Source organism: Homo sapiens, chromosome 1, assembly GCF_000001405.40.
Source record: "Homo sapiens chromosome 1, GRCh38.p14 Primary Assembly".
Lineage (NCBI taxonomy): Eukaryota > Metazoa > Chordata > Mammalia > Primates > Hominidae > Homo > Homo sapiens.
The window spans coordinates 158,167,716-158,195,151 of record NC_000001.11 but is presented as its reverse complement, the minus strand read 5'-3'; the positions used below and the strand labels follow the sequence as shown (position 1 = coordinate 158,195,151).

The 27,436-nt window shown below is 40.9% G+C and overlaps 1 protein-coding gene, 1 long non-coding RNA gene and 1 pseudogene across 7 annotated transcripts in view, besides 5 other annotated features; 1 reads left to right on the top strand and 2 right to left on the bottom strand.

The window, feature by feature from the left end:
• Positions 1,152-1,857: an enhancer, noted in NCBI's record as "NANOG-H3K27ac hESC enhancer chr1:158163085-158163790 (GRCh37/hg19 assembly coordinates)". NCBI's record gives its function as "activates a minimal SCP1, AML or CMV promoter by ChIP-STARR-seq in naive and primed H9 embryonic stem cells {active_cell/tissue: H9 hESC(naive and primed)}" and the evidence as "EXISTENCE:reporter gene assay evidence [ECO:0000049][PMID:30033119]".
• Positions 1,858-2,564: an enhancer, noted in NCBI's record as "OCT4-NANOG-H3K27ac hESC enhancer chr1:158162378-158163084 (GRCh37/hg19 assembly coordinates)". NCBI's record gives its function as "activates a minimal SCP1, AML or CMV promoter by ChIP-STARR-seq in primed H9 embryonic stem cells {active_cell/tissue: H9 hESC(primed)}" and the evidence as "EXISTENCE:reporter gene assay evidence [ECO:0000049][PMID:30033119]".
• Positions 8,725-17,122, bottom strand: CD1D (CD1d molecule). 6 transcript variants are annotated; one of them, NM_001766.4, is made up of 7 exons: positions 14,990-15,205; positions 13,990-14,333; positions 13,431-13,697; positions 12,842-13,120; positions 11,996-12,274; positions 11,117-11,216; positions 8,725-11,023 (listed from the first exon to the last, which is right to left on the bottom strand). In NM_001766.4, the coding sequence occupies exons 2-7, from the start codon at positions 14,048-14,050 to the stop codon at positions 11,002-11,004; spliced, it is 1,008 nt and encodes a 335-aa protein (NP_001757.1). In that variant the 5' UTR covers positions 14,051-14,333; positions 14,990-15,205; the 3' UTR covers positions 8,725-11,001. The 6 variants fall into 6 exon arrangements, with proteins under 6 accessions (NP_001757.1, NP_001358691.1, NP_001306074.1 ...); NM_001371763.1 differs by lacking the exon at positions 14,990-15,205 and adding an exon at positions 17,084-17,122 and having other exon boundaries at positions 10,256-11,023; NM_001371762.2 differs by lacking the exon at positions 14,990-15,205 and having other exon boundaries at positions 13,990-14,257.
• Positions 8,950-9,463: an enhancer, noted in NCBI's record as "NANOG hESC enhancer chr1:158155479-158155992 (GRCh37/hg19 assembly coordinates)". NCBI's record gives its function as "activates a minimal SCP1, AML or CMV promoter by ChIP-STARR-seq in naive H9 embryonic stem cells {active_cell/tissue: H9 hESC(naive)}" and the evidence as "EXISTENCE:reporter gene assay evidence [ECO:0000049][PMID:30033119]".
• Positions 13,727-13,786: an enhancer, noted in NCBI's record as "active region_1897". NCBI's record gives its function as "activates an Ori minimal core promoter by ATAC-STARR-seq in GM12878 lymphoblastoid cells {active_cell/tissue: GM12878}" and the evidence as "EXISTENCE:reporter gene assay evidence [ECO:0000049][PMID:35858748]".
• Positions 15,199-15,248: a silencer, noted in NCBI's record as "silent region_1449". NCBI's record gives its function as "represses an Ori minimal core promoter by ATAC-STARR-seq in GM12878 lymphoblastoid cells {active_cell/tissue: GM12878}" and the evidence as "EXISTENCE:reporter gene assay evidence [ECO:0000049][PMID:35858748]".
• On the top strand, positions 17,269-20,799 carry ELL2P1 (elongation factor for RNA polymerase II 2 pseudogene 1; annotated as a pseudogene).
• The window catches only part of LOC105371460 (uncharacterized), a 32,490-nt gene continuing 26,991 nt past the window's right edge, over positions 21,938-27,436 (bottom strand). The window contains exon 5 of the long non-coding RNA XR_922187.3: positions 21,938-25,602. This is a non-coding gene — a long non-coding RNA (uncharacterized LOC105371460). The remainder of the gene's footprint in view (positions 25,603-27,436) is intronic.

Below are 27,436 nucleotides of genomic sequence, written 5' to 3'. Positions count from 1 at the left end.
GGGTAACTATAGTTAACATATTGTATATTTCAAAATAGCTGGAAGAAAAGATTTGAAATGTTACCAAGCGCAAAGAAATGGTAAATGTTTGAGATGATGGGTATGTTAAACACTCTGATTTGATCATTACACATGTATACATGTATCAAAATATCCCATGCACCCCATAAATACATACAATTATTATGTATCAACTTAAGAATTTTTTAAAAAGTAAATAGGAGAGGTTATTCTTTATGAGAGGGACAATGGGAAGCGGAGAGGAAGGGATACTAATTTTCTTTTCTGTCAGCATTTGTTTGAATTTTTAATCATATGTATGTTACATGATTTTTGTCATCAGGACTTATCTGCTGAAGAGGCACAATTTATTTTCTTTGTGTCACTAATTAAACTAGCTATTAATTATTTTTTAAAGAAATGGATAAAGATGTCAAATCAACAGCTTCAGCTTTTATCTTTAAAAGCTAGGGGGGAAAGAACAAACTAAACCCAAATTAAACAGAAGAAAGAAATCAATGAAAAGATTAATAAAACCAACAAACCTCTAGCCTGATTAATCTGTGGAGAAAGAGGAACAATACAAATTATCAATATCAGAAAAAGTTATTCAGATTATCTATTTCTTTTTTTTTTTTTTTTTTTTTTTTTTGAGACAGAGTCCCACTTTGTCACTCAGGCTGGAATGCAGTGGTACAATCTTGGCTCATTGCAACCTCCACCCCCCAGGTCCAAGCGATTCTCCTGCCTCAGCCTCCCGAGTAGCTGGGACTACAGACGCCAGCCACTGTGCCTGGCTAATTTTTATATTTTTAGTAGAGACAGGGTTTCACCATCTTGGCCAGGCTGGTCTTGAACTCCTGACCTTGTGATCCACCCGCCTCGGCCTCCCAAAGTGTTGTGATTACAGGCGTGAGCCACCGCGCCTGGCCATCTGTTTCTTTTTGAGTGAACTTTGGTAGTCTGTGTTTTTCAAGGTGTTTATTCATTTAATCAGAGCTGTTGAATAACTCTATATCTGCTAAAGAAAAGTGCATTTGTAGTTAAAAGCCTGCCTAAAAATGTCCCAAGACTGCATCTAAATGTTAAAACCAAATATACATCCAAAACTGAAAATGAAAAGTAGTCTGAGAAATGTACTTTTACCTTTCCAGTTTCAGCAAACCAATTCATAGCATCCACGACCCTGCATTTTAGATGAAGCATTTCTTCACCTAGATTCCAATAATTTGGAAAAGAAAAGAGAAAATGGTATCTCTACAAAATAAACTATTTTTCCTCCATTTTGAAAAGCCCTTGAATGACCTGCAATTCATTAATAGATTTTGGAGCAAGAGAGCCAGCACACTGATCAGGGGAGCTAACAAAGAATTAATAGATTCCAGGAGGGTGAGGAGTAGAGCCCAAAAAATGGTCTCCAGGGAGTTAGATACCAGAAGTCAGGAAGATGTGCTGTGGTAGCACAAAGCCATGCGTTAAGATTTTACTTATCGGCCAGGCACAGCGACTCACGCCTGTAATCTCAGCACTTTGGGAGGCCAAGGTGGGCAGATCACCTGAGGTCAGGAGTTCAAGACCAGCCTGGTCAACATAGCCAAACCCCATCTTTATGAAAAAAAATACAAAAATTAGCCAGGCGTGGTGGCGGGCGCCTGTAATCCCAGCTACTTGGGGGGCTGAGACAGGAGAATCGCTTGAACCTTGAACCTAGGAGACAGAAGTTGCAGTGAGCCGAGACTGCACCACTGTACTCCAGCCTGGAGGACAGAGTGAGACTCTGTCTCCAAAGGAAAAAAATATATATTTTACCTATTCTTTTGAGGTGATAACTATCGGGGGACCTGCCCCAATAATCACGTAGGTTCATTTCTATTTTCCTAAGCGTCGGCTGGCTTGAGAAATAAAGGGACAGAGTACAAAAGAGAGAAATTTTAAAGCTGGGCATCCGGGGGAGACATCACACGTTGGTAGGATCCGTGATGCCCCACAAGCCACAAAAACCAGCAAGTTTTTATCAGGGAGTTTCAAAAGGGGAGGGAGTATACGAATAGGTGTGGGTGACAGACATCAAGTACTTAACAGGGTAATAGAATATCACAAGGCAAGTGGAGGCAGGGCGAGATCACAGGACCACAGGATGGAGGCAAAATTAAAATTGCTAATGAAGTTTCAGGCACCATTGTCATTGATAACATCTTATCAGGAGACAGCGTTTTGAGATCAACCGGTCTGACCAAAATTTATTAGGCGGGAATTTCCTCTTCCTAATAAGCCTGGGAGTGCTGTGGGAGACTGGAGTTTATTTCACCTCTGCAATCTCGACCAAAAGAGACAGATACGCCCCGGGGGGGCCAGTTCAGAGACCTACCCCTAGGTGCGCATTCTCTTTCTCAGGGACGTTCCATGCTGAGAAAAAGAATTCAGCGATATTTCTCCCATTTGCTTTTGAAAGAAGAGAAATATGGCTCTGTTCTGCCCGGCTCACCGGCAGTCAGAGTTTAAGGTTATCTCTCTTATTCTCTGAACAATTGCTGTTATCCTATTCTTTTTTCAGGGTGCCCACATTTCATATTGCTCAAACACACATGCTGTACAATTTGTGTAGTTAACGCAATTATTACAGGGTCCTGAGACGATATACATCCTTCTCGGCTGACAGGATTAAGAGATTAAAGCAAAGACAGGCATAGGAAATCACAAGGATATTGATTGGGGAAGTGATAAGTGTCCATGAAATCTTTACAATTTATGTTTAGAGATTGCAGTAAAGACAGGCATAAGAAATTACAAAAGTATTAATTTGGGGAACTAATAAATGTCCATAAAATCTTCACAATCCACATTCTTCTGTCATGGCTTCAGCCGGTCCCTCCGTTTGGGGTCCCTGACTTCCCGCAACAGATAACCAAGAGTAAAAATTTTGTAAAATTTTAGGAAAGTAAACGGAGGTATTATCAGAGTCATATGGTATCTATTGTCTTAATGTTTTATCATACTTTCATATTAATTTAAATTATGGTATCATATTTCATCATGCTAAGATGTAACCAATTGTAATTATGCAAATATTTTATGTACCACTAAGAAAAGAAAAAAACTGTCAAATAAACCAACACAATATTTTTATCTCTTTGTGTTTTAACTTTTCAAGTGGTCTTTTGAACTTTTTTAGACAAGCATATTAATTATATATAATTTTTGTGAATAAACAAAAGAAAATGTAAGAGAAATAAATTGGTTTACAGATTCTCAAAACTTAGTAAAGTTGTTCTAGTTCTTTCAAGTCAAAGTTAATATATCTAACTCATTTCTTTCAATGATTGCCCCTTGTTCCATGGTTTGCCTGTGACAGAAACTGCAAGTTGCCTCATCAAATTCATTAGCAACAAAACCTGATTTTTAGTTAGGCGTATTCTCACTAGATTAAATACTAGATATCCCAGCCTCACTGGCATGTAGATGTGGTCGCATGAATGCTTCTTATCAAGACAGTAGAAGAAGGCTTGTGTTCATGTATCCTACTTCTGTTAATTCACTTTAAAAGTGGGGATAAAGGCGGTGTCCTTTTTTCTTCCTCCATCCTGCTACCCAGAAAACTCTTGTGATGGATCACACTTTAGCATTTAACATGGGGCATAACAACGAGTAACAGAGCAATGAGCTCGACAAAGCCGGGTCCCTATTAACCTCAGGAAGCTAGCCTTTGAGTGCTTATGTCTGGACTTCTATTCTGTAGGATAATAGAAGTCTCGTTTAAGACTTTTACTTGTTTAAGTCTCTTTTTTGGGGGGCTGTTTTTGCTTTAAGCAACTGCACCTATTCCTAATTAATGTCTATTTTCAGTTTTTGGCCACTACAAAATATACACATATATACATAAAGGGCTGCAACTATCATCTTGTACATATATCCTCAAACACTGGTGCTTTCATTTTAATAAAATATGTTCCCAAAAGTAGAATTTTTGAGTTCAAGGGCCCATTAATTTTTCATGTAAAGAGATTTTTGCCAAAAAGCTTTCAAAAAGCTGTTAAAAAAATAATATATTATCCTCCTTCATTGTTATCAATTTGATAAGTTAGAATGGATATCTCATGATTCTTCTGTGACTACTAATGAGAATAGTTATCTTTGTTATGTTGGCAATGTTAAATTTTTCTTCATGAGTTATCTTTTCATAGTCTTTGCCCATTTATTATCTGAATGTTGAACTTATTCTTATAAATTTGTGAGTGACTATGCTCATTATTAATATTAACTAACACTATCTGTCATTTGTAATATAGATATTTTCCCAATCTATAGTTGGTTTATGCCATCTATTGCCTTAAAAACTTTTTATTTGTTAGTATATCTATATTTTATTTATAGTTTCTGTATTTCTGTTTTGATTAAAAATATTCAAAACTTCCACGTCTTTAATACATCTGGAGTTTATTTATGGTTATTCTATGAGGCAAAGTTCCAATTAGTTTTTTTCTACATGAATAGGAAGTCCATCCATTAATTATTCTTTGCAGTAATATGCAATAGCATCTCATACATAAATTTCCATATATACTGAGATCTATTTCTTAGCTTTCTATTCTATTCCTCTATTCTTCTATTTGTCAACTTCTATTTTATTACCATGATGTTTTGATGACATTGGCTCTGGGTTTTAATATCTATTATGGCAGACTCCCCATTTGTACTATTTTTTATATGTTGGGGTCATTTTAATACTACTTAGAATTTTATTTAATTTACAAATTTGAAGAGATAATTAATATTTAACTATATTAAATGTTCTAAACTAAGACTATAGCATGGCTTTTCATAAATTCAGAACATGTTTATTGTCTTTCAGAGGTCTCTATACTCTTTTTCATATGGGTCGACAATATTCTTGTGAAAGGTATTCTTAAGTCTTTAAAATTCTTGTCTTTTTTTAATGGACTATTAATAGACTATTATTTCCCATTTACATTTCTACTTGGTTATTGTTAACAGGAAAAATAGCTTTGATTTTCATATATTCATCTTTTTTACCTGCTGAAATTCCCTTATAAATTCTAGTATTTGTTTTTCCAAATAAGGTTGCTTGGGTTTTCCAGGTATATGGTGACATCATCAGTGAAAAGAGCTAAGTGTATCTATTCCTTTTCCATGCGTGGGTGACATGATGGTCCCTTTGCCTTAACAGCCAGCTCTCAGGCCCAATAGAAGGCTGCTTTTGCTTGGCTCCCCAAAGGCTGCAAAGTCAGTAGGCTATTTCAACCACCACATTTTTTAACTACCTCACTTGGTCTAGAATTATACCACCAACATGACATTAACTGTGTCAAGTTTCTTTTGATCATGGTGGTGAGAAACCAACTTCACTTCTGTTTCTCCTTTATGAGCTTCAGTTCTTTGAAGGTCTATAAGGCAATACGATTTTACACCTACCCAAAACTGTTCCCTATGAGCCAGATTCACATTTTTCAGTGGAAATTTCTCCAGGCCCGTGCCCATCTCTTACCAAGAAGCTGATGTTGCTGTGATAGCTGTGTTACTATTGTTACTATTGTTGAAATGTAGAGTCTGAAATACAGGCCATTTATGTAACTTTCCACTTTCCTTCATTTCTAGTTATTTTTCTGAAACTAACAGAATTTAATCTTCTCAGAAAATTCTAACAAGACTGGTTTTATCCTGTTTTTTTCATCTTCCAATCACCGTGTGTCCACTATGGGCTATTGATCATACTATAGTCATCTTGCAAACTGTGTTTACTATAGTCCACAGAAATTTCAGGAATCAGTATTAAATTCTAAGTCCATCTCCAGACTTCAAATAAATGTCCCCACACAGTCACAGCAATTGTCTCAAAATGTACTGGCTCCAGTGCTAGAGGTTATGATTTATCCAGGAGATAGACATGTTCTGTAAAATAATTCTTGGTAATCCCACACAAATCCCACAGGTAATACATGTGAATCTTAGACAATATGTTGGATATCTCTTTATTTTCCATTAGTTAACATAATTTCTAACTCTGAGCATCATTGGTCCAGTGGTAGAAAACATGTAATTTTAGTTTTTCCTGATTTCTGCCCCCAATCCGTAGAATTCTAACCTTATACTCACTGACACTCATTTGTTAAGCCATACTGATTATCCCTGAAATAAACATATCACTTTCTGCACAGCCTTTTAAGACACAGTATCCTTTCTGATATTTCTGTGCCACAATTACAGGTATGGGTGTTTTGCTAAGGCTACCCGTGACCTGTTGTCCAGCAGAACCTTATAGTCGTTCTCTCTGGGTTTTTGTCCCCTCCCTGATAGTGCTGCTGGAAATAACACAGAATGACTGGGAAGCTATTTCTGTTTTCTATCTTGCCACATTCTTCCCCTGAGGCAAAGAGAAATGTGTAAATATCTTGCATAGACAAGGAGGAGAAAAGAGGAAAAATGTAAGAAAAGAAATAAATACATATGTTAAAATGTCAAAATATTATCCTCTGCTGAAGCGGAAGGCTCTCTTGAGCCCAGGAGTTCGAGGCTGCTGTGAGCTTTGATTCTGCCACTGTACTCTAGCCTGAGTAACAGAGCAAGAGCCTATCTCCAGAAAAAAGAGAGAGAGAGAGAGATTGTCCTACAACAAAAAACATGTAGAAACTCATCAAAATATATTAAACAAGTGTTTTCAGACATTGAGAAAAACAGAAAGTGAGTGTTGTGATACTGAGTATGGGAAAATAATCTAGGTGAGTCTTTAATTATTCCCTGCCTTTCCACCTAGAGGCAATTTTCAAATCACATCACAGGGAGTGAGAAGTGAGAAGACATATGTGGCCTGAGAATAGGGTCCAGACCACAAAGGAAGAAGAGCCAGTTTAAGCAACTGCACAGCACAAATAGAAAAGAATAAATGAGCAAAGTTTGTCTGAGCCAGTCTCAGTTTACACCTGTCATCCTGCTTAATTATTAAGTACACCCTCTCAATTACAGTTACCCTAAGCAACAGAGACCCCAGGGAATGAGAGGAGAGGATACACTAAGAGTGGGGCAGCATCAACTCCAGATTGGATAAAGAAAATGTGGTACATATACACCATGGAATACTAGGCAACCATTAAAAAGACTGAAATCATGTCCTTTGCAGCAACATGGAGGCAGCTGGAGGCCATTATCCTAAACGAACTAACGCAGGAACAAAAAACTAAATACCACACGTTTTCACTTATAAGTGGGAGCTAAACACTGAGTACACATGGACATAAAGATGAGAACAATAGACACTGCGGAGCACAAGAATGGGGAGGGAGGAATGGGGACAAGAGCTGAAAAACTACCTATTGGGTACTATGCTCACTATCTGGGAGACGGATTCATTTGTGCTCCAAACCTCAGCATCACACAATATACCTTTGTGACAAACTTAAACATGTATCCCTCGAACCTATAATAAATGTCGAGGCTGGGTGTGGTGGCTCATGCCTGTAATCCCAGCACTATGGGAGGCTGAGGTGGGTGGATCACGAGGTCAGGAGTTCGAGACCAGCCTGGCCAACATGGTGAAACCTCATCTCTACCAAAAATACAAAAATTAGCTGAGTGTGGTAGTGTGCGCCTGTAATCCCAGCTACTTGGGAGGCTGAGGCAGGAGAATCACTTGAACCCAGGAGGTGGAGGTTGCAGTGAGCCGAGACCACGCCACTGCATTCCAGCCTGGGCGACAGAGCAAGATGCCATCTAAAATAAATAAATAAATAAATAATTGAAGAAAAAAAAAAAAAAGTGGAGCAGGCACTTCCGAGGATGGTTTTGGCAAAAAAAGAACATCCATTCTCAGCTCTTAAAGAAAGAGCTACACCGCAAAGCAAAGCAAACCAACTCCATGCCATAGACTCATGAGCAAAAAGCAAATTCAAGTAGTAGCTTTGGAAAGTTCACAGATTTCTGTGTATAGCTGAGAAGACACATGTATCCTCCTGAGTCCAATCAGGAAATAGAAACTCCACCATGAGTTTAACAGAGGAAGTTTAACAGAATTATTAAACATAATAAGAAAATAATTATAATATGTAAGAAAACTCAGCAAAAAACCCTAGGGTGGAAGGAGAATATCCAAAGAAGAGCAACTCGGAAGTGTGACTCCTCCCCAAGGCTGGGGCGCAGATCTTATTGGAGAAGGTATGGTTCAGTCCCATACCTTGGGTAGCAGAGACATTCACAGGTTTACCCAGGCCAAAGCTGGCCTGAAGTAGCTAGATAAGCTGGAAGAAACCCTCCTGGCTTGAGGCAGGGGCTTGCAGAGGAAGTACTGCTCAGTGGAAACCTCCAGGCAGTGGGTGGATTAAGCACAGGAGATGCGAGGGTCTGCAGATAGAATGGGGTACTTGGAGGGGCAGGGACCACAGGCAGCGCCACACAGGATGTCTTCCCACCCACTTCATTGACCCACCACGCAGTAGCTGGAAGCTGCAGGAGAGCCCCTTCCTCCTGCTGTGTCCCTCCGGGGCCCTTTACTGAAAAAGCTTAACAATGTGCTGACTTTTTAAAGGAACTCTGTTCATTGTCACTGAGCCTATTATGAAGAATGAATTTGGAGCAGAGTGGTAATAAATTCACAATCAGCACAACACTCAGTAAGAAACATGATACTCATAAAAAGAGTATTAACATGTTCTAAAATGAATTCTCAGGATTCTCTGAGATATTTGGAACTGAGTATTTATTTGAAGGAAGAAAAAATTTCCTGGAGAGATAAGCCTTTATTTTCTAAATAAATTAAAATTGTTTAAAGATGAGTCAGAGCTACCATAAATTCATGCAGAGGCATTTCCAAAAGGACATCAGTAGAGACTTTAACACACGTGCCCTCAGAATGCAGAAGGCCAGTGGGGTTGGTTCACAAACTTGACACTGCTAGAGGAACCTAAGCTGAAGAGCGCCACGTGAGGGTGGGCAATGTGGTACCAAACACAGCAACAGCCTCCACATCTTTTAAGGCATTACACACTTGAACTCCACAAGTCTAGGAGATAATCAATAATAGATAATTATTATCCTCCTTTGGCACAGGAGGAAACTGGTTCAGAGGCTAGAACTCCAGTCCCCTCAGCCAGTGCACTTGCTGGTTCACCTCACTGCCTTTGTTTTTCAAAGCTCTGCTTCAAATTCCCCTCCCTCCAGGACGCCTTCCCTGACTAACGCCAGGCCAATGTCCTTTTCACTTAGCACTTTGAGGAAGTTGTTGTATAACATTGCACAATGTCTAAGAACAGTGGTTCTCTAACTTTAGCTAAGCATCAGAATCACCAGGGGGCTTGACTATTGAGCCTGCTTCCAGACTCAGAGTTTCTCATTCAGCGGGTATAGGATGAGGCCCAAAACAATTTGCATTTATAACAAGTTCCCAGGTCCTGCTGAGGCTGTTGGTCAGGTTACTACAATTTGGGAACCATTGATTTAAAAGCTAGCATAATTTTTTTTTAAGACAGGGTCTCCCTCTGTCATCCTTACACTGTAGTGACACAATCACAGCTCACACTAACCTGGAATTCATGGGCTCAAGGGATCCTCCCACCTCAGCCTCCAGAGTAGCTAGGACTACAGGCGCTCACCACCATGGGTGGCTAGTTTTTTAATTTTTTGTAGAGACAGGGTCTCACTATGTTGCCCAGGCTGATTTCAAATGCCTGGCCTTAAACAATCCTCCTATCTCAGCCTCCCAAAGCACTTGGATTATAGGCATATCCAAGTGCTTTGGGATATGTTGAAGCTAGCAGAATCTTCACGCACATCCTAAATTCATATGTGCAAGTCTAGTATAGAGAGTGTGAAATGTTACTTTTCTCAAGCAAACACTCTCCAACCGTTAAGTCTCACTTATTTTTTCTGGGTGTTCAGGGACCCTGACTGCCAAGAGATTTACCTCCCAGCTAGGCAAACATGATTTTGGCCTCCTTATTTCTTTGGCATCAGAAAGGTCTGCTACCCCTGTAAGTTTCCTGCTCTGTCCTCTCTAAGATAAGAACACAGCATGGCTGGGCTACCATCACCATCATCGCTGCAGCTCATGCTTGCCCAAGTGGTGTTGGCCCTTTCCCTACATTGTCTCTTTTAATAGCTGTAAGTAAAGGAGACTGTTGTTGTTGCCGTTGTCGTTTTGGGAAGGAAGGGATGCCTTCATGACAATCTTCCTCCAAGGAAAAAAAGTGATGACCATTTGAGAGAAATATCCTTACTCAGAGTAGTTTTTTTCAACATAATACACATACACTATGATTTATCTTCGTTTATTAATTACACCAAGTAAAAATGTGAGACGCCTCTGTTTCTTATAACCTAACTTTCTTTTAAAGAGAAAATGTCCTTCTTCAGTCGTAAATCCAAATTTACAATAGAAACTGTGTCCTCCAACTGCCAATATGACATCCAGGGCAAACTTTTTATAAAAGACACACAAACTCCTGGGTTTGTCATCAGTCAGTAGGTATGTATTTGAGGTGTCCCACATAGTATTTTGTAAAAACTTGAGTCAACCTTTTAAAATCAGGCATGTTCGCTGAAAATCCAGATTTCCAGTTTTCTTGAAAAACGGTTAAAGCCAAGCCAGGTCCTGACTTTATACTTGACAACAAGCAGCTGCAGCTGATTCCTTTGGATAGGACATGTGTGTTCCAGTTCCTTACAGATCCCATCACACACACTCACATCAGCTCTTACCTGCTTGTCCCTGGTAGGTCTTCAGATACAAGTTTGCACACCTTTGCACTTCTGATTTCACAGAGCCATTTGGGCTTATAAACTTGTAGTGTAATTTTTGAAAAAGAATTTAAATTCTTTTAGATAAATGTTAAAAGGGTGTGATGAAAGCTGCCTCATGACTGTTCTCTACTTTTTCAAGGTATCTCTCCTATCTTCAATTCCTTACATCTTCAATTCCTGAGCAGACCAGGACTGAAGTCTTAGGAACCTGAGGTCCAGAGGTCCTGGGTTCCAGAGACACAGATGTGGCAAGGCGAGTCACAGGACGCCCTGATAGGAACTGTGAGAGAATAGAAAGGGAAAGACCATTAAGGAAAAGGGAAGCCAGGAATGAAGGGGAGAGAGGTTGAGGAAAGGGAAAGGGGAGACTTACGTTTGCCTCTTAAACCGGGAGGTAAAGCCCACAATGAGGAGGAACAGCAAGCACGCCAGGACTGCCAAGGCAATCAAGCCCATGGAGGTGTAGCTCCCACCTGCTCTGGAGGAACATAGGCTGTCTCTCAGCACAGGACCCCTCTCTACATATATCCAATCCCCTGGTCTAGGCATGTGTGAGGGTACCAGGTGCTTCTTATTTCCTCCTCCACTTAAAACCCCAATTTCTATTCCTCATAAGTTTAGATTCCCCATCTTGTTTTCAGTGCCTGGGCATCCCAAATTCAGCCCACTTTGACATTTGCTAGTGTAGCATAGAGGGAAAGGGCAACAGCTTTGTAGCAAGGCAGACCTGAATCTAAATCCAGCCCGTCCACTTTCTATGTGGCTCCGGGCAGTTAACCTATCTCCGCCTTCATTTCCTCATCTATATAACGAAAAGAGCAGTACTTGCTTCAAAGAAAACTGTGAATGATGAGATGAGATATTATATGCAGATTCATTGGCCCCTACACAGGGAGCACTCAACCAACCAAGCTATCTTTGCTAACCTGCCTTCCCAAAGGCCTGGCTCCCTTTAAGCCAAGGAATGAATCGTCCTGGGATTGTTTATTCGCTGCCTACTTCTGGATCCCTGAGTTTTGTAGTCTTGTTTCTTCTTGTATATAGAGAGCACTATTTCAATCCTTTTAGACTTTCAGGTCTTTATTTCCCTCCTTCCTGTGTCTGGAACCCCTCTCTCTATCCTTTTACTGGGGGCCTCATCTCTGAAACTCCTCTAACCTGGGTATATCAAGCCACATCCCACCCCAGTGCCTCCCTCTATGCCTGAGGACCACCTCCTGCCATTTCCAGCTTGGGCCCAGCTTTTTCTCACCCCAGTAGAGGACGATGTCCTGGCCCTCTAGACTGCTGTGCTTCACCCGACAGGACAGGCCAGCTGCCTCCCCAGCCACCACATCCAGGGTTGCTCGGAGATACCATGTCTCGTCAGCATTGGGCAGGATGTCCCCTGGCTGAGTGCCCTGCTGCTCCTGCTCACCCCGCATCCACTTCACCCATACAGGCTTTGGGTAGAATCCTGAGACATGGCACACCAGCAGCAGACGGCCAGGGCCAGGACTGGGGCCACGGGACAGCCAGGCCTTGGGCTTCACTGTATCCAACAAGGGAATGGGGGGGATCTTAAAGTGAAAACTCTGCATTAGAGGCTCCAGGCCTCATATCATCCTTTTTGACTTTCAGGTCTTTATTTCCCTCCTTCCTGTATGCCCCTGACATGTTCACTTCTGGAAATGAAGTCTCCCACAACTTTCAATCCATTTGTCCCACCTTCTTCAGGGAGCCTGCCCTGATACTCCTTCTTCTTCTCTGGTCCCAGCCTCCTATGAATGCCCCTTGTCTGTTCCCCTATAACACCCTTTGTTTTGAAGTAACATATGTAGCCTATTTCAAGCATTGCATTAATTAACATCCCCCTACCAAGCAGGGATCCTAACTAACTGCCTGACACCTTTCACCCCCAGTTGTTCATTAATTGAATTCATAGAACCCAAGAGGTGCTCAGTTGATGTCTGTGAAATGAATAAATACCCTCACCCCTTATCCAGCCCCTCCTGGGCCTTCCTCTTCTTTGAATGCTCAAAGGGATGAGAACCCTGGAATGGAAAAGCCCGTTTGGAGCCCTGAAGTGGAATGCAGGGAGTAAGGAAGGCAGGCTGACCTTGCTTCTTCAGTTCCGACTTCCCTGACTCAAGGAGGCCACTGACAAATTGGGGGCAGGTGCCATTAAGGAGCCACTGCACTGTTTCCCTCGTCCACTTGTCCTGGTTGAGCACTTGAATGGCCAAGTTTACCCAAAGTGGGGCCTCTTGGGTTGGCTCCCAAGAAGTTCCTTGGAAACTCAGGATATCTTTTCCTTGAAATGCTACATGGAAGAAGTTATTTGAGGCGTTCCCAGGGTGCACCTCACAGCCAGCGGACACCTGGAGCTCCAAGGGATCTGTGGAGAGGAATGGAGAAAGATCAAAGAAGGGTTTAAAAGACTGGGAGAGATGAAAGAGAAGAAATTGATGTGCAGGTTATAATGGGGACCCAGACTTCAGGGAAAGGAAAGTAAGTGACCTGGAGTAGGCAGGAACGAGGGACACTTTGAGGAGTCAAAGCCTGGGACATCTCCAGGTAGAAGGGAAATCAGAAGAGGGTGGACAGAGCAGAGAATCTCATCAGGTGGTGCCACAGTCTCCCAGTTGAGTTTCTGTGGCCATTCTCTCCCCTTGGGTACCGGCCCAGGATCCTATCCCTCAGCTCACAGGATAAGCGTAGCATTTTGGCGAATTCCTTCACGTCCCTGGTGAAGCTGCTTCGATAAACCCGAAATATATGCTGCAGCGTCTCCCACTGCTGGTCGCTGAACGTGCCCTGGGACCAAGGCTTCAGAGAGCGGACGGTGTCCGAGTCGTTGCTCCAGCTGTGCGTCTGCAGCTCCCCCAGCCACGCCAAGCCGTCGGTGCGCGTCCAGCTGCTATTGGCGAAGGACGAGATCTGGAGGCAGCGGAGGGGGAAAAGCCTTTGCGGGACTGGGAGAGAATGAAGATTGGAGGCGTGTAGCAAGTGGCCGGGAGAGCAGCCAGCATAAAGAGAAGGAAGAAAGAAACAAGAGGAGATGAGCTTCAGGAGGCGGCTGATGCCAGCGAACTCTGTGCCGCGCTGCCTCTCCCCGGAGCCAGGGAGCAGCGAGTTTTCTACCTAGATCGCGCCAGTGCGTCCCGGGTCTCACCAGTCCCCATCAGGCGTTGCCCTCCCCGTCCCTACCCAGCTCCCTCTCTCCGCCCTCCCGCGAGTGCACTCAAGCGCCCTCGTTCCACCCACCTTCAGCGCTTCCCCAAGCCTGGAGGAGCGCCCAGAGCAGCAGAAACAGCAGGCACCCCATATCGCCCGGCGTGGGGACCTCGCGGAGCGCCGCTGCGCGCCGCCCTCTGACCTGCGCACTCTTCTCCCCCGCCGCTCAGCTCACGTCCCTTTCCGCTGGGTGCCAGCCAATTCCCAAGCCCAGACCCCGGCAGCCCTCCTCGCTGGGCTTGCCGGCGGTTTGCTGCTTCTGCCGAAGGGCGCCCTCGCCCTTAGCTGTGCGAGCTGCAAAGAGGTCGGGGTCCCAGGAATCCTGGCGCCGCCGCTCACTTCAGTAGGTTTCACAACCGGCGTGTCTCAATTTCCTGTTTCAAAGGAGACTTTGGGTCAACGTGTGGGACGCTTTACAACCATTATTTATGTTTTGGAAGCAGGACATAAGGTTGTGTCTGTGTTACAATTCCAACCATGGTAAAAATGCAAAGGGAAAAAAGGATCAAAGTCCTTGCTTTAGCAGTACATGTCTCTAGGTGGAAAGACTATGAGTGATCTTAATTTGCTTTACATCTTTATGTTTTCCAAAATTTCTCAAGTGCAAGTACCACATTTACAATAAAGTAAACGCATGAAAATTAATTTCCTCAGTTGCACATTGAGAGAACTGGATTAGGTTGGCTACAATTCTTTACAACTGTCATATCCCAGGATTCCTCCACCTCAGTGTTCCCTAGCCTCTCTTTCCTCCTGTCATGGTCCTTGCTCTCCCCTCCCCGGCCTCTGCTCTGTCTTCCCTGTCTCCTTTTTGGGGACGCGCCCCCAGACTCTCTTCCTCCTCTCCGCCCTAGGCTCTGCCGGCATACCTTCTCCTCTGGCTCCTGACTCATTCACTTTCCAAATATGCGCCTCTGTCTTAAACAGTAAGTGTAAGATGACAGTGTGTACCTGGACAGCCAACTCGCCACTTCTCACACTGAAAATAAGAAAAAGTGACCAAAAATCGTGGTTCTAAGCCTTAGCTCACCTGGAGGAAAAGACTCCTCTTTGGCAACTCAGAACCTGGGCTGCAGCCTGACACCTCCCTCTCCCTCACTCTTTTTATCCAATCTATCTCCAACTCATCTCTATTTCACTTCTTTTTGAATACCTCTTGAATAAATTCCTTTTTCTATATTTCCACCGTCACCATCACCCTAACCTTTTGACTGATCTCCTGAAGTAGCATTCTTGGGTAGAAAACAAAATCATTAGCACGGCCTGCAAGATTATGCGCCCTCTAGCCCTGGTGTCTACCTTTTGACATCACCTCACACCCCAGCATCATTTGCTCTGTACTGTAGCCTGGCTGTTAGCTTTCAGTTCCTCCACTATGCAAAACCTCTTCCTGACTAAGGTCTCTGCACAAAGTTCCCTCTACATGAAAGCTCTTGACCTTCTCCTCACCTCACCCCCTCCCAATGCCTAGTTATTTCCACTAAGGTATCAGTTCCAAGGTCACTTTCTCAGGGAAGTCTTTCCAGATCTGCCAGACTGTGTGACCCTAGGCAGGAGAAGTAGGGCAGTCCCAACCTCCACTGCTTGTACACTAACTGGCTTTGAGAAGCCATCCTCTCAGCATGTAGCAGAGTTTATAATTATAGAAATGGCCATATGTCTGTCTCCCTCTGTGTCCTCTTCTAAATCAGCTGGAGAGGTGCCAGAAGGCAAGGATCATGTCTCCATAATCTGATTCCTCCCATTCTGCTAACGTTAATGTTTCCCTTCTCCCATATCCTGTTGCAGCAAGAGTCCTAGAGAAAATAGGCTACTGCACCACACTCTAGGCTGGGATCTTGTAGACAGCCCTAACCCAGCCTATCTAATTATGTGTAATTTGCCCAAAAAAGCTTAAAATAACATAGTAACGTGTTCTTGTAACAAATAAGGTGTTAAATTATTAAATTTGGATACAAAATTGCCTAAATAATGGATAGGAGGGAAGCTATGAGAAATAAAAAGAAAAATAATTATATGACTCATGGGGCAATATTTTTAACTTTACTTTCTTCAAATTTCCAAGCTCCCTTTAAAAACTTGAACAGTTCTGTTTAGTTTTTGTGTATCTTAAAAATTTTAAGTGCTAACATTCTTGCACACTTAAAGACAAGAAGCTGGTTTGTGTGTGTGTGTGTGGTTTTTTTGTTTTTGTTTGTTTATCAACAGAGGCCAGGCTATATTACCTTCAGAAGTTAGGACTATCTGGAATTATACGGATATTTTTTCCCAAAGGTCAGTTGAGTTAGACACTTTTTGGCTATTGGAACTTTCACTGCTTTTTTTCTGGGAAAGGAACCATTGAATTATGAAACGTTTTGCAATATGTTACCTAAACAAAATATTTTATAACAAGACTGACTCAGAATACCCTAGCACAGAGAGATGGTGATTTACTCAGAGCCTTAAAATAAGCCCACGGTGGGTACTACATGATCTCACTTATATGTGGACTCTAAAATAGTTTACTATTTTATGGAAACAGAGTTAGGGTAGTGGTTTCCAGGAGCTGGAGGGAAGGGGCAAATGTGTTAATTTTGGTCAAAGGGTTTCAGCCTCTCAATTTTGAGAGGCTGACCAAAACCTTGGAGCCTGATCATAAGGGACTTACTTGGTTTCAGTTCAGAATTCACAATTCACAACGTCAAATTAGTTGGAATCTTATATGCTTTCTTCATGTTTTTGTTATCCTAACCATAAGGAGACCATTTAATGTACAAAGGATAGCTGCATATGAGAATTTAAGATTCTTGAGAGGACACATCAGGGAAACTTTTATAATAGCTATCAGGAGGATAATACCAACGAACTAAAGAACTCTTCTTAATAGCACTTTCCACAAGCCAACCTGATCAAAATCAAACAATTCAAAGTTCAGTCAATAAAGTTTAACAGCATTCAAGTGCAATTGCTCATAGTCTTTATTCAGAGCATAATGGTGATCAAGGACCGTAGTTTGCTGTAAAATGGCCTGATTTAAAGAGGTATTCATTTTTGTAAGTAGCCTGATAATACAAACCACAGTAACCTGGAGATCCACTAAAAGAAACATAAGGATTAGAAAACCTTGTGATAGCTCTCTTACCTCTCGGACGTCCAGTCCCAGGAGCAAAACTCCAGCGACTTTGGGCCCCGCCCCCGTGAAAGTGGAGGGCGGCCGATGAGGACGGTTCTGAGGGAACTAGACCAATGAGACTAGCCTGGGGCGGGGCGCGGGGCCAGAGGGTGGGGCAGGTGGCGGCGATGGCAGTCCGAGGTCTGGCTCCGCGCAGTATATGACAGTACGCCAGCAGCGGGATGGCCCTAGCAGTGGCGGCGGCTGCAGAAGCCCAAGCAGCTGCGGCCGCAGTGGAGGCTGGAGCTGGACTGGCGGCGGCGGCACCTCTGGGAGTTTAAGATGTCGGGGGTGGGGGGGTCGCGGGGCAGCGCTATGGGCTCTCGTGCGGACGGCTGGGGCAGGACAACATCACCGTACTGCATGTGAAGCTCACCGAGTCGGCGATCCAGGCGCTCCAGACTTACCAGAGCCACAAGAATTTAATTTCTTTTCGACCTTCAATTCAGTTCCAAAGACTCCAGGAGCTTGTCAAAATTCCCAAAAATGATCCCCTCAATGAAGTTCATAACTTTAACTTTTATTTGTCAAATGTGGGCAAAGACAACCCTCAGGGCAGCTTTGACTGCGTCCAGCAAACATTCTCCAGCTCTGGAGCCTCCCAGCTCAATTGCCTGGGATTTATACAAGATAAAATTACAGTGTGTGCAACAAACGACTCGGATCAGATGACACGAGAAAGAACGACCCAGGCAGAGGAGGAATCCCGCAACCGAAGCACAGAAGTTATCAAACCCGGTGGACCATATGTAGGGAAAAGAGTGCAAATTCGGAAAGCACCTCAAGCTGTTTCAGATACAGTTCCTGAGAGGAAAAGGTCAACCCCCATGAACCCTGCAAATCCAATTCGATAGACACACAGCAGCAGCAGCGTCTCTCAGAAGCCATACAGGGACAGGGTGGTTCACTTACTGGCCCTGAAGGCCTACAAGAAACCGGAGCTACTTGCTAGACTCCAGAAAGATGGTGTCAATCAAAAAGACAGGAACTCCCTGGGAGCAATTCTGCAACAGGTAGCCAATCTGAATCCTAAGGACCTCTCGTATACTTCAAAGGATTATGTTTTTAAAGAGCTTCAGAGAGACTGGCCTGGATACAGTGAAATAGACACTTGGTCATTGGAGTCAATGCTCTCTAGAAAACTAAATCCATCTCAGAATGCTGCAGGCACCAGCCGTTCAGAATCTCCAGTATGTTCTAGTAGAAACGCTGTATCTTCTCCTCAGACACGGCTTTTGGATTCAGAGTTTATTGATCATTTAATGGATAAAAAAGCCCGAATATCTCACCTGACGAGCAGAGTACCACCAACACTAAATGGTCATTTGAATCCCACCAGTGAAAAATCTGCTGCAGGCCTCCCTCTGCCCCCTGCAGCTGCTGCCATCCCCACCCCTCCACCGCTTGCCTTCAACCCATCTGCCGGTTTCACATCCTCCTCAGATTGTAAATTCTAACTCCAATTCCCCTAGCACTCCAGAAGGCCGGGGGCTCAAGACCTACCTGTTGACAGTTTTAGTCAAAACAATAGTATCTATGAGAACCAACAAGACAAGTATACCTCTAGGACTTCTCTGGAAACCTTACCCCCTGGTTCAGTTCTATTAAAGTGTCCAAAGCCTATGGAAGAAAACCATTCAGTGTCTCACAAAAAGTCCAAAAAGAAGTCTAAAAAACATAAGGAAAAGGACCAAATAAAAAAGCACGACATTGAGACTATTGAGGAAAAGGAGAAAGATCTTAAGAGAGAAGAGGAAATTGCCAAGCTAAATAACTCCAGTCCAAATTCCAGTGGAGGAGCTAAAGAGGATTGCACTGCCTCCATGGAACCTTCAGCAATTGAACTCCCAGATTATTTGATAAAATATATTGCTATCATCTCCTATGAGCAACGCCGGAATTATAAAGATGACGTCAGTGCAGAGTATGATGAGTACAGAGCTTTGCATGCCAGGATGGAGACTGTAGCTAGAAGATTTATCAAACTAGATGCACAAAGAAAGCGCCTTTCTCCAGGCTCAAAAGAGTATCAGAATGTTCATGAAGAAGTCTTACAAGAATATCGGAAGATAAAGCAGTCTAGTCCCAATTACCATGAAGAAAAATACAGATGTGAATATCTTCATAACAAGCTGGCTCACATCAAAAGGCTACTAGGCGAATTTGACCAACAGCAGGCAGAGTCATGGCCCTAGAACTCTGCTTGGACCAGAACATGTGAATAAACTTAAGCTTATTTATTTAAAATTCCAAATGAGTTGCTCTAGATTCTAAAAAGGTGAAACTTTGGCTGTTGAAAGTTTCAGTATTAGTAAACTTCAGTTACTTTTTCTTTTCCATTTTACTTTGCTTCCCTGCATTTCAAAGCTGCTCTTTCTGGTTCTCCCCACCACCCCACCACCGAGACTTGTGTTTGTTAATGGAAATAATTTTTTAGGAATTGGGGATCCATTGTCTATATTTCAAATCATTTTTTCCTCAAAAACTTGTGTTTGTTATTAGAAATAATTTTTTAGATATTGGGGATCCAGTGTCCACACTTAAAAGTTGTATGTGTTTAAAAAACAACAACAGTAGTGTGCAAGGTGAGATGCTTTTGAATAAACGTAAGCCTATTTTCTGACCTTTCTTAATGCAAACTCTTTGCCTTAAATGGTAGGATATTTAGAAATTTGCACAAAATTAAAAAAATAAACATTGTCTTGGAGGGTTAAAAAATAGAAAGGTGTACGTGTATAGATTCACATACACATATGTATATACAGGCTGACTTGATCTAGAACATTAAATCCACCCTGCAAGTTAACCCCCCATTGCAATGGTTGCCTTAAGGTATTTGCTAGTTGTGTATATAGTGTGGTTAATCACTAGCTACACTGTTTCCCACTTGATTAGAGCAATGGGAAGCATATTTTGGCCTACCAGCATCTGGAAGTGTGTGCTCAATCTGTATGTGTGCAGAGGCGGTGTGGATGTGAGCGTGCATGAAGGAAAAAAGCTGCTACTCCTAGTAGGCCAAACGCTCAGGTTAAACAACTGACGAGTGTTACTGTAGGGTGTTTTTTTGTTTTGTTTTGTTTTTTCTATCAAATTGCAACTTTTGTTGTGGAAGACAAAAGCATTTCCATTTCAACGAGTTTGTCAGCTTTATTAATGTTGGGCAAAAATTGATATGTCATGAAAATGAAACAGATCTATAGTTTTGGGACAAAATTATAAAATTAAATGTGTAGGTAACCTATTTATATACTGCTGTAAAGTATTTTTTGAAGAGAGATATGCAAAGAAGCTATTACCTACATAAGATGTATACTTAAAGATTTTTTTTTCATCCTGGTGCCAGGAATATAAAAAAGAGTGGATATATTTAACCATAACATACTGTGATTCATCAAGCAGCACAAACTTTCATTTCATGCAGTTTATGTGTTGACGTTGATTTAAACTGTCACTTGTTTTATCATGTGGGAACATAAGTTATGTGGTCAAAAATATAAGGATTTTGAACTAATACTGATTCAATTTGCATTGTCTTATTGTATTGTCTTTTCAAAGTGCTGCCAGTTGAAAAGGGAAGCATTATGTTTACAAATCTGTTTTGAAATGTTTGCCAAAATTTTGGTAGTGTCTTTAATAAAGATGTTTGTCTCCAGCATCCAGAAAAACAAATAAATAACTTTGTTGTGAAAAAAAAAAAAGAAAACCTTGTAATAGCCAAGTTTGCCATCCACTATGAAGGATGCCTGCAAACCAATTGTTAGCTGCTCCTGTAAATACATTATGTGTCTTTCCCCTAAACAAAAAAAAATTCCTTAATGTATTTGGTGGCAGCATCTAGAGGAACAGCAATATTAGCTACCTTTTTAAGTAAGTGTCAGATAGTAGTAAAATCAGAGAAAAGACAAGTGCAACATTCAGTTTTGTTCAACACCACATACAATGCCCAATAGGGGCATAAAGGAGATCTAAGGCTATAAGATGTTTCATTAAGTGTTTAGTTAAACAAAAATGTTTTAGAAAGTGTCTGCAACCCTGGAGGTCTCACTGGCTCCAAATGCAAGATTTTTCCCCAACTTGAACAGATTGGTTTCAAACTCCATACAACTAGTACCCCACTGCTGCCAACAGTGAGCCCCCAGGAACTTTATTGGAACCTTTCCTCCACAGAAAATAACTGATCTTCATCTGTTTTGAGGTTGGTTCTAATTTCAGTTATTGACCTCTTTGGCCTGTGAGTACCATGGGTAATTCCAGGCAGAGCTTTTTGGAAGGCAGGAGTGAGCAAGACCAAACAGAAAGATCCAAGCCAGCAAGGAGGCAATGTACAACAGAGTACACAATTTCTCCATAGACCCAATATAGGATCTCAGGGGCTGAAAATGAGGTGAAAAATACCTAGTGGTGTTTGAGCAGAGGTCAAGTTATTAATAAATTTATCTGCCCATAAGTGAGCATAGCTCCTGAACAAGGTCCAGTGGGAAACTGACCTTTTTGTGGTCCTTTTATAGCATACTGTAAGGGTACATAAACACGTTTAGTGGAAAGACACCTCACTACATTTAATCTAGTAAGATCATATAAGCAATTACTCTTACCCACATAGGTAGTCCCCAGGTCTTGAGTTTGCAATACTTGGAGGCACAATATCCCTTCTGCAGGCATCACTTGGATAGATTTCATATACTTGGTAGTAATTAGGTTAATTATTGGAAAGGTTAGGGTATTGTTTCCATTGAGTGCAGGAAGCCAAATAACAGTGATGCTAGAATATCAGGGATAGCTTTCCATTCTTCCTTTGAGATTTCAGGTGGACTCTCGCTGGGAAAACAAAGAGGCACTGGCATTAATGGAATTGTTTTATCATTTGGGGGCATTAGTCCACACACCCCAAAATTGCTCTGGTTTCTTGCTAGAGCATAAGCCTTCACTAAAGCCATTCACAGATTATGGTCCCATGGATTTTCCTGTAAGAAAAGAGAAGAGATTAGAATAAAAAGAAACACAATGAAAAAGACAAGACTTTTGTGATACCAGAGAAGTCTTGATCATCAATCTTGGGAGAGCTGTCCGCATCTAGAATGCCATCTGCTTATGGCCAAATCTTCTGTAGTCAGTTTCACCTTAAGATCTCTAATAGGTGTACAGTTTCAGGAGTCTTGAGGGCCCACTTTGAGCTGAGAGATGTGGATCCAATACTTAAGGCCCCGAAGTTTGCTGCAGAAAACTTGGTATTGTCCCCTTCCACTAGAGGTCAAGAGCAGTCTTTCCCAGGTGTCACTTCCAAAAGACCCAATTTCTGAGTTTTAGACTGTGAAAGATCTGATTATCATCATTTGACAGGCCACAACGGGTTTCTTTTAGCTGGTGAAAATATGCTTTGGGATAATGCATTAAAGCCTGGCACTATTCAGCCATGTCAGAGTTTATAAGAGGGGCCAATACCTGAGTTTCCATTATTAAGGGCATAGGTATTTCAGTAACTCTTTTATAAGAGATCAATGTATGTTTTCCAGTGGTAGTGGATCTAATTGCCATCAACTGGTAACATCTTTGAATAAAGCAATTCAATCAATTCAGTTAGCCGTACCTAATACCATCGTGTTTGAAATATCTTATTTGACTGACTTATAATTTGATCAGTAAAGTGGGTTCCTCTGTTGCTGGATATTTTTCCAGGGATGCCCCATAAAGGGAACACATTTTCTAATAACTTCTTTTTCTCTTTCTTTTTCTTTTGTCCTTTTTTTTTTAGACATGGGGGTTTGGTTCTGCTGCCCAGGCTTGAGTGTAGTGGCACAATTGTAACTCACTGCAGCACTGAAATCCTGGGCTCAGGATCAGGCAATACTCCCACCTCAGCCACCAGAGTAGCTGGGACTACAGGTCATGCTACCATGCCTGACTAATTTTTTTTGTTTTTGTAGAGATGAGCTCTCAGTATCTTGTTTTAAACTAGAATGGTTTGTTGTTCTAAAATGAGAGGAGTAAAAGTATAGGACAAAAAGTGAATGAATGAAAAAGTTGTAGAAGGTTTGTGGAAGATGAATCTTGTGAAAGGAATTTTATGTGTGATCAAGCTGGCTAAGATTAGAAGAGAATTAGTTATATGTTTGCTCAGGCTGCAGGCTGATCTTGAACTCCTGGCCTCAAGCAATCTTCCTGCTTCAGCCTCCCAAAGTGCTGGGATTATGGGTATGAGCTACTATGCCCAGCCACTAATAACTTCTTAACTATCATCATAGCATCAGCTTTTCTACATGGGAAAGCTTTTATACAATCAGAAAACATGCAAAGTATTACAAGAACATTATGACACCTCATTAAGGGTAGAAATCGAAATTCACAGTCTACCTGTGAAAGTTCAAGTGATCCCTCAAATGGTAAAAATACACCACCTAAACTTTTGATTGTCTTATCAGAATTATGGGTTTGACAAGCCAAACATTTAGCACTTTTAGAAGAGTCGCCCCATCAATATTTTTTCACAATTTGGATCCTTTTATCTCTTCCATGATAAGTCATGGAGTGCAGAGCTTTTGATAATGGAAACTTTAAGGACTCAGGAAGAAGCAGGTAGCCATCCAGGTGCATAGCATTGTTTGTTAAATAAGTTATCATAGGTAATTTGACTTAACTCAATCTTTTTGGAGTTCATTCAAATTGCATATCTTAATAATTTCAGTACTGGCTGACTTAGTAGGAAAATCCGCCAGGTCATTTCCTTGGTATTTAATTAATTCTTGTTCTGCCTGATATTGGGTTAGTTTTGTGAACCAGTCACTTGCTCCACTAAAGTTCTGGGAGTTCTTGCCCAGTCCAATGGTATGATCTTGAAGTTATCAGAAACCTGTACTTGTTAGAGTATTTTTCATTAATCTCCATGAAGATGAAACACTTTAGGCTTATAGTTAGGAAAGTATCAGAGTAAACAATTAACCACCTGTAAATGACAAGACCTGAAATGTCCATGGTTAAAGATATGATGACAGTTCATTATAATAATGATTCAATTGACAAAGTGTTTTGGTTATTTCTGTTGCATAAAACATTTTAAGATAATAACTAGAATTATAACTGTTAGAGTTATACTAGGACTATTAGATTTCTATAAACTTTATACAGTTTCTGAAACACATCAATAACATATCTATGCAAATAGGGCTCAAAGAAAATTTGGCATTACTTTTATTATTTGACAATGCTTCCCATATAATTTAATATGTCAAATAAGCCCAGTTATTTTAGTATCTCTCTTTTTATCAGGAGAGGTATTCCTTTGAAAAGTTCCAAAAGTTCATCTTGAAAATACCAAAGTTTATTTGAGGTCCAGAAAAAGAATTAATTTAGAATTTGATTTTAGAAGTTTATCAAAAATATCAAAGAGTTAAAATATTTGATCAAAATAGGATCACAGGTCACTGTGAACAATTCATTTATTTAACCAAGGTAATATTAAAAGACTTCAAAGACAAATATAGAAAGTTACATAGTTATAGAAAAACCTGAGCTCTTTTAGTAGAGAAGTCTCAGCGTTCTTAAGTAATCAAAAACCTGAAAAAGACAACATAAAGCAAAGGAAATTATCTTGGTAAAACATGGAATCTTTGTTTTTTGGGCCAATTACGCAAAAGGTAAAGGAAGACCTTTCCCAATTTCCTATTCAGAGCAGATAAATACTGCAAAAAAGTTGTGTTGTTTTAACAGGTGGACCAAGTTCTAGTTTTGTATCAATGTATTTTTATATTAATGCTCAATTTTTAGAAAAACATATAAATAATTCCATCACATACATAAACATCTAGACAGAAAAAGACCTTAGAGCTTTTATTCAAAAATTTTAGCCATGTGTCAGGTACAATAATGCAAACTCACTAATTTATTAAAGAGTATCTGGGCTCAAATTGTTTTTCTAGACCATAGAACAAGATTTCCAGCACAGATGGCTAAAGCTTTTGACTAATAATTATTAAAAAGACTTTTAAGATTTGTTTTCATTTGTCTTTTTTAAGGAAACTTTTAAAGAGGCAAACTTTGATTTAATTTAAATGTTTAGATACTTCTATGCACCAATTAAAGAATGTATCACCTTTCTTTTTTGGCATTTTGGATCCTTTCTTTCCTAATGCACCTCATAAGTGAATATTTTTAACTAGGTTAAAACTTCCACATTGTGATGACTGTAATTCTAAGTTGTTCTTAGTAAAATTAACCAGTTTTTTCCAAAAATGCACAGGTTCAGAGCTCATAATTTTTGTATAAAACATTAGCTATTGTCCCAAAAAATGGAGTCCTAGGCTTCTTAGATTTGGAGGAACTCATTTCAAAAGGTACGTACCCGAGGTCTCTAACTGGAACCAATCTAGTTAGTTATCAGACACAATCTGATCCTGGATCCAGTTCAGTAAAAATTCCTCAAATAAAGTTGAAGAGGACACAACACAGTTCCACGGAGGTTGAAACTGGGAAAGAACTTATCCAGATCCCAGTTGCTATGAGAGATCAATGGGCACATTGAATGCTAGTAAGTACCTTTACTTGGTAACTCAGTGCTCCTGTTGGTTACTAGACATCTACTTCAGATCCCACTTCTTACACCAATCTATTAAAAGAAAATCTTTAGACAAATTAAATTTAGCAGAGTTTATTTGAGCAAGGAAATGATTCATGAATTGGGCAGCACCCTGAACCACTGAAGATTGAGAGAGCTCCACCCAGCAACATTGACAGGCAGTATTTATAGAAAGAAAAAGGAAATTACATACATAAATAGCCTGATTGGTTACAGCTCTGCATTTGCCTTATTTCAACATGTTTGAGCAGTTTGCAGCCTATAATTGGCTGCTATGATTGGCTGAGGCTTGGTTACTTGTTTGCTTATTTTTTTTTGTTTTTTTTTTTGAGACAGAGTCTTGATCTGTCACCTAGGCTGGAGTGCAGTGGCACAACCTCAGTTCACTGCAACCTCCACCTCCCACTTCAGCCTCCCAAGTAGCTGGGACTACAAGCATGCACCACCATGCCCGGCTAACTGTTTTTGCATTTTTTAGTAGAGATGGGGTTTCAACATATTGTCTAGGATGGTCTAGAACTCCTGATCACAAGTGATCCACCCGCCTCAGCCTCCCAAAGTGCTGGAATAACAGGCATAAGCCACCACGCCCTGCTGGTTACTTGTCATAAGAGTATACTGTTAAGTTGTGTTGCTGTTTGTTTACATATTAAGTTAGGTTATACTTCACTACATACAGAGGCAGCTTTAGGTCAAATTTAATTTAACACAATGTATACAAATATCAAAATACCAAATTCTATGCCTTAAACATATACAATTTGTATATGTTAATGATATCTCAATAAAGCTGTTAAAAACATTTTAAGAAAAAGCCCAGGGTGGGAGCAAACTCAATCCACTGTACTTTCTGCTTTTCCCAGGGACTGGCTGTGATCTATGCCCTTAGACTACTAATCACTTCCTTCACTTTTAAAGTAGTTTTAGTTTCCAAAGACCTTTCACATATACCATTTTGTTTAATCCCCACAGCAACTATGAGAGACAGGGATTACTATTCTTAATTTGTAAATGAGGAAACTAAATCAAAGAGAAACAAATCCAAAGCAGCACACAGTTAATGATTTGGGGATGGAACTGGAATTTTGATCTTCTAACTCCTGGTCCAGCATATTTTATTCCTCATAGCTGCATTCTGAGGTTGCACCTTCCCCTCTGAGGAGGTGTGTCAGTGATATGAATGGTGTGGTTTCTTTTCTTTTGGTATTCTATAATCCTGGGCCATCACAGCTGGAGGAGAGCATAAGAATTTCTTGGATGGGAGGAAGACAGAACTAGAATCAAAGAATTACAAATGATTTGAGTAAAAATAGCTACAGATACAAATTGTCATTGAATAGTTAAGGTATAAGAAGCCCAAGTAATATGAGGGCAGTGTATTTTTTTTTCATTTTATTAGTGAGAGGAATAATAGGTGCAACCTGCTTACTCCTGATTAGCTGTCTGGCATCAAAGTCCCCTGTCTCTCTAGATTGTATTCTGATTGGTTCTGATTGCCATATGTTGATTTGCTTAGTTCTCTTTTAACGACCAGCATTACATTTTGATTCTTTTTTTACTCCTAGCCATACTGTTCAGTTGGCTGGCTTGATTTAAGTTTCTAAAATAAAACTTTCCCATTGATCTCCAAACTACTTTTTGTTTGCTCTCACTGATTTATGTGAATTATACACCCATATCACTATCTGAAATTAAGTGGCTCATTTATGTTGCATGTTTATTTACTGATCTCTTGCCTCTGGTCTTAATACTCT